This window comes from Homo sapiens, chromosome 10 (assembly GCF_000001405.40).
Source record: "Homo sapiens chromosome 10, GRCh38.p14 Primary Assembly".
Lineage (NCBI taxonomy): Eukaryota > Metazoa > Chordata > Mammalia > Primates > Hominidae > Homo > Homo sapiens.
The window spans coordinates 61337693-61344614 of NC_000010.11; positions in this window are offsets into that span (position 1 = coordinate 61337693).

Here is a 6922-nt window from a genome sequence, read left to right on the forward strand (position 1 = left end):
CAACCCAGGAAAGAGGCAGATGCCACTCAGCACCTGCCAGTTGTTGCCATTTGAAAAGTGGCGGCCAGGCCTGCCAGTGATTTTTTTTCAAAAACCTGAAGATCAAGATTTCTATTTGAAATCTCCCAATTTTTAAATGTTGGCAACTAATTCAGAAAAATGTTTAAACACTCTGTAAGCCAAACAAAACACATATGTGGGCCAGATTTGGCTTATGGGAGGCTAGCTTGCAACCTTAAGTTTGGAGTCATCTTACCATCCTGGTCGCCATATTTTGTACATATTCCAGTTTAGTCAGTTGTAACATGAGGAACATGAACCATCAAAAAGAAAGAGAGAATTCATTAGTTGAAAGGAAAACAGAGAACCAGTAACTTCAACACAGATGAGCTCCAGCGATCAACTTTACTGCATAATCAAAATTTAGGTCACAAGTAACATAAGGTTACGTTTTTAACTTTTTAACTATTGTGAACTCTAAAAGTAGAGACATGTGTTAACAGTTGATGTGATAGGTCTACAAGAAAACATAGTGCTCTTGTCTAAAAGAGGTCTCCTAAAAATGGGAATAAAGCGCTAAAGAAATATAATATAAAATCATTACCAGACCATATGTTTGTGATATAACATGAGGCATTTTCTTGCCAGGATATCACATAACCATGGCAAACTGCCACTAGCTTCACTCTCTCTACCATAAAAGAAAGAAAGAGATTCAACAGACATTCTTGGGACAAATTAGGTTAATGTTTTATTATAAGTATTTAATTTATTAAATATATTTCTGGAAGTGCCACCCACCAGAATAAATAATTCCATCATTGGACTGAGAGGATATTGTTTTGTCATTTCTAAGTCTGCCCTTTCTATGACACATTGTTTTATGGATTTTAGAAAGATATATCTGGAATACATTTTCATTACTGTGATTCTTGCCCTCACTAGTGTGTGCTGATTTTCAAGCTAGTTTGCCCTTTTCCCCTTATTTCCTCAAGAATCTGTTAGGAACTTAATTGAAAGAACAAAATGAACTCTAAGCCCCAGGTGGACAGTTCCTGGTGTTAAGGTTAATCCACCAGCACCTTATCTAATTGCTGACCTCTTCCTCATGGGAAGGGTGGTCTTCAATGATCTGCAAGTCAGTCACCACCAGAAAAGTTTATTTTGTCCAAAGCCGGCAGCTCATAAAGAAGGGAGGAAAGCCAAGTTGCTTTGTGGAATATCCTTTATGCTACAAATTTATTAATTTCAAAATTGCTTCTTCTTTGCAGTTCAAGCAAGCATCTTTAAAAAACAATTTCTGGGAAGAGAGTTCTGAATACATATTACTGAAGACAATCACTAAATTAAAAATTTGAACATACCTTCTAGATTTATATTAAGAAGCTATTTCAAATAAAATATTGAAGTTGTTTTGTAGAGACAAGTTGATTTTAGAACCAGAAAGTATTTTGTTATTGCTGGAGTTAGTCTTTGTGATTATTAAAAATAAATGCATGCCAAGGGAAACTATTTCCCCTTAGTTAATATAGATTAAGAGATTTTATACACGTAGGGACTGAAATGAGCCAGAGAGGGAACACCCCAGGAAAGAGGCAGATACCACCACCCAGCATCAGCCAGTTGTTGCCACGTGAAAGTGTGGGCCAGGGTTGCCAGTAAATTACCTGCTTCTTTAGCCAGGCATTAAGTAAAGCAATATCATATATAGTTGTAATATACAGTCTATCTATCAGGTGAAATCTAGAATTAGTAACACTGAATCTGCAACTTAGAAGGAAAAGTACTCATCTTCTTGTTTTATGTTAACACTCCTAATGAGACTTAATCAAGAATAATAAACAAATAAAATCCAGACAATTGGAAAAGATAGACCAAGCGTCCTTATTTTCACTTTACTGCTACAATAAATCTAGCTACCTCATAAATTCGCCCTTTTAAGGATGCTCACAGTCCTTGAATGTTTAGATCTTGCTTTCCAATGTATGTATTTAGTTTAACCAACTATGAAATGTAGCACAGCTACTTCTTACAAACTTTGATACCTAAAGAAAGTGTATTAAGCTATACTGTATAACTTCTATCTCTTTGAGTACCACCTTCCAATTTTCTTAATCTCAGACTCTGTAGTCATTCTTACGCTGCTTACGAAACAGTTACTATCCTGAATGAAAGTGTTTCAAAAGTCTTATAAAGGATAGGCCATTTTAATGTATAACTGACAAGGATTAGTAGCAGTTTACCCACATGCTTCTCTGCATTTTGGATGCCCATTATTCTAATGTACCTGACACAGAATAAACCATGACATTGGCTATCTCACCTGCTACTGCCAAGACATAACTTATAAACACTAGCAGAATTTCTGATCCAGACAACAATGTCATTGGAAAGGACCTAAACTAGTGTCTCTATAGTTTTATATTGTGCATATATGTATATTTATTATATCATATGTATGTATGCATATATACAAATTATATATTTATATTACATTAATTCAAAAGTTATGCTCTGTGAAATACCTTGTTAGAAGGATAAAAAGACAAGCTATGAACTGAAAAAAAATTGTAAACCACATATCTGACAAAGGACTCATATCTAGAATATGTAAATAACTCTAAAATTTCAACAGTTAAAAAAAACAATTCAACTAGAAAGTGGGCAAAAGACACAAGGGAACATTTTATCACAAAAGATATACAGATGACACAGCAACAAAGCCCATGAAAAGATGTTCGACATCACTAGCTATTAAGGAAATGCAAATTGCAAATTAAGTCCATTATGAGGTATCACTGTATACCTATTAGAACAGCTAAAATAAAAAAAAAATAGAATACCAAATGCTGATGAAGAGGCTGAAAAACTGGAAAACTGCATCTCTCATACATTGTTGATGGAGATGTAAGAGCACACAGCTATTTGGGGAAATTTTTTGGCATTTTCTTTAAAAAAGTAATTATATACATATGTAACAAACCTGCACGTTGTGCGCATGTATCCTAAAACTTAAAATATAGTAATAATAATAGAAGTAATTTTATACTTATCATACAATGAAGCAATTTCTCTTCTGAGCACTTACATTAGAGAAAGAAAAACTAATGTCCATACAGAGACCTGTACACAAATGTTCATGGCTGCTTTATTTTTAACACCCTCAAACTGGAAGCAACCAAAATGTCCTTCAATATGTGAGTAAACAAACTGTACTACCTCCATAACGAAATACCACTCAGCAATAAAAAGGAATGGACTGTTGATATATGAAATGACTTGAATTGGTTTCAAAGAAATGCTCAATGAAAGGAGTCAATACTAAATGGCCTCATACTGCATGATTCTGTTTATATAATATTTTAAAAGTGACAAAATTGTGGAGCTGGATAACAGATTAGTGGTTGCTAGGAGTCAGAGATGGTGGTGGGGTGGAGGGTGAATGTTATTATAAAGGGGTACTATGAAGAAATCTTTGTGCTAATGTACTAGTTCTGTATCTTGATTATGATGATTGTTGCACAATATATGCATGTGATGTCATAAAATTATGCATACACATTGTACCCAATGTAAATTTCCTGGTTTTGGTATTGTACTATAGCTATTAATATGTACCAATTGGGGGAATTGGGTGAATGGCACTTGGGATCTCTGTGTGCTTTTGCAACTTCTGTGTGACATAGTTTTGATGTGTGTCCCTGCCCAAATCTCATGCTGAGTTGTAATCCCCAGCATTGGAGATGGGGCCCTGTAGGGAAGTGATTGGATCGGGGGGGCAGATGAATGGCTTAGCACCATCCCCCTTGCTAGTATCCTCATGATAGTGAGTGAGTTCTTGTGAGATCAGGTCATTTAAAAGTGTGTAGCACCTCCATCCTCACCCTCTCTTGCTCCTTTTTCGCCATGTGAAGTTTCTGCTCCCACTTTGCCTTCTGCCATGAGTGAAAGCTCCCTGAGGCCTCCCCAGAGACAGGTGTCATCAGGCTTCCTGTATGGCCTGCAGAACCATGAGCAAATGATATCTCTTTTCCTTATAAATTACCCAGTCTCAGGTATTTCTTTATAGCAATACAAGAATGACCTAATACACTGTGAATCTAAAAATAATTGTAAAATCTTTGGAGAGCTATACAGAATTTACAGTCCATATTTTAAATATTCTCAACAAGGTGATAGACTGTTGACTGTTTTTATGAATTTATACCCTGAAAAATATGTTAAAAGCCTTGGTTTTGGTGTCAACCAGACCTACTTTTATTTACTAGGCATAGGTATTAGGAAATTACTGATTGTCTCCAAGTATCAATTTCCTTTCCTGTGAAAAAATAATCATGGAACTAATAATAGTAAAATATCTCACAGTAGTTTTGGAAAAATTAGAATGAGGTAATGTATGTATTACTCTTAGTAGACTGTCCAACATCTAAATATACCCCAATAAATTATAGATAATATTATTTTCTTTCTTTCATTGAACTCTGTACAGTTGGTTAATTTTACTACTTTATCTAAATTGATATGTTTATGAGTTGACTGTCCAGCTGCATGAGAAATTTCATTAGCTTGAGAACTAAGTTATTCCTAAGATGTCATTGGCACCTAGCAAATTACTCCATAGGGTAAATTGTTAATACATACATGTGAAATATACAATCTGCATTGTACAACCCAATGGTCACTTTTCAGTGTCCTATAGAACTTACACCTCAGCATCACTTGACATAGTTGACCATTTCCACATTTTAAATCTTTTTTGTTCTTTTTTTATGACATCCTTTTCTCTTGGTTTCTCTTTTACTTTTCTGGCTAGTTCTACTCAATCTCCTTTGCTTCTCCCCATCTCCCCCAACCTTTTACTATTGGAATTCCTCTGTGCTCTTATCCTAGGCTTTTTCCTTCTTTTAACTAAGGATGTTCTTCCTAGATGATCTGATCAGTTGCCAACATTCCTATTATTATCACTATGATGGTAACATCCATATTCATATCTCCAGTTCACATCTTGCTTCTGAGTTCCTACCCATCCAAATTTCCACTGAGATGCCTTAAAGTCACCTTGAAAACAATATGTCTAAAACTGAACATGTATCACTTAGGCTTCTGGCAGGAAACAGAAGAAATTTTAATGAAGGATCTATCTGCAAAATTATAGACAAGGTGTAGAAAAAGAAACAAGGGTTGACACATTGCTGTAGGCCTGGTAACAGCAGGAAACTATTAGCACTACTGGGTCTAAAAGGCAAGGAAAGGAAGTTATTATGAGAACACACACACACACACACACACACACAGAGAGAGAGAGAGAGAGCCAGAGAGAGAGCGAGAGCTGTGTAAACAGGGCTGTCTGATAGTGGTACGAAGCCAACCCAACCCAAGATAATCCTGCAGAAAGAGACTCAATGGAAGAAATATCTAGGTCTCACTTTCCTGTCTTCCTTTGATCTTTTTCTTCTGAACCATTCGCTGAAACCAACTCAAAGCATGAGGGCGAAGAGGCCCATTGATGTAAGACAAGGTCGTTCACCTCCAGTAGAGAGTAGAGTGGCAAAAGGAGTAAATTCAATCTGAAAGAGCAAAAGGAAGCTATCTGGCACAGAAATTGGGGAGCATAAACCACCTTCATTTCCAGTATTACCCAGGTCCAGCTGCATATCTAGTACTTCCTTACTCAGCAAATGTTGCTATCATCTACACAAATCCTAAAGCTGAAATCCTAAGAGTCATCCTGATTTCTGTTTCTTTCTTTTCCTATATTCACATCAGACACTGTAGATACAACTCAAATATATTACAAATTTGACCAGCTGTGTCCATTTCTATTGCCACCACTCTGGTTTGAGCTCCCATAATGTCTCTTTTGGACTACTGAAATAGTCTTACCCTGTCTCCCTCATTACATCTTGCCTCTCTCTATTTCGTTATCTGCACGCATTCAGTGTGATTATGGTGGGCAGAATAATAGCTCCCAAAGAAGCCCACATTTAATCCCTGGAATTTAATAATATGTTACATTGTATACCAAAAGGACTTTGCAGGTGTGGTTAAATTAAGGACCTTGAGATTGGAGATTATGCTGGCTTATCTGGGTAGATTCAATCTAATCATGGGTCCTTGAAACTTAATGACGTTTCCTGGCTGTAGTCAGAGGCTAAATGCGACGCAGAAGAATGGTCAAAGAGATGAAACATTATTGGTTTTGAAGATGAAGTAAGAGGGACATGAGTCAAGGAATTCCAATGGTCTCTGAAGCTCAAAAAAACAACATTGACTTCTTGCCTAGAATCTCCACAAAAGAACACAGCCCTGCCATCACTTTGCTTTTAGCCCATTGCAAGCCATGTCAGACTCCTACCACACAGAAAGGTAAGATGATAAATTGGCATTCCTTTAAACCACCACTTGTGGTAATTTGTTACAGCAGCAATAGTAAACTAATATAGTAATCTTGCAAAAATCTCAAGTTTGATCATGTCATTTCACTGCTTTAAAACCTTCAAATGCTTCTCATTGCACTGACAAAATCTAAAATTCTTAACACGAATCTTGTACCATCTTTCTGTGTCTCCCTCGTCACCTCATTGCAGACGCTCCTCTCTTCAGCAAGTGTACTCCAGTCATGCAAGACTTCTTTACCTCCCTGAACAATGTCAAGCCTTGTTTTGCATTAGGGTTCTTGCAACCTCAGCAACATCTAGCTGACTACTCTACCTAACTTCACACTCTTTCAATGAGTTAATTGGTTTTTCATTGCTAACAATTTATCACATATTTAGCAACATTGAATAACACACATTTCTTACCTTGCAGTTTCTGCAGGTCAGGACTCTAGGCATGGCTTAACTGGATCCTCTTTTCAGAGTCTCAACACACTGCACTCAAATTATCAGGAGAGTTGCATTCCCATCTGGACAATAGAGGA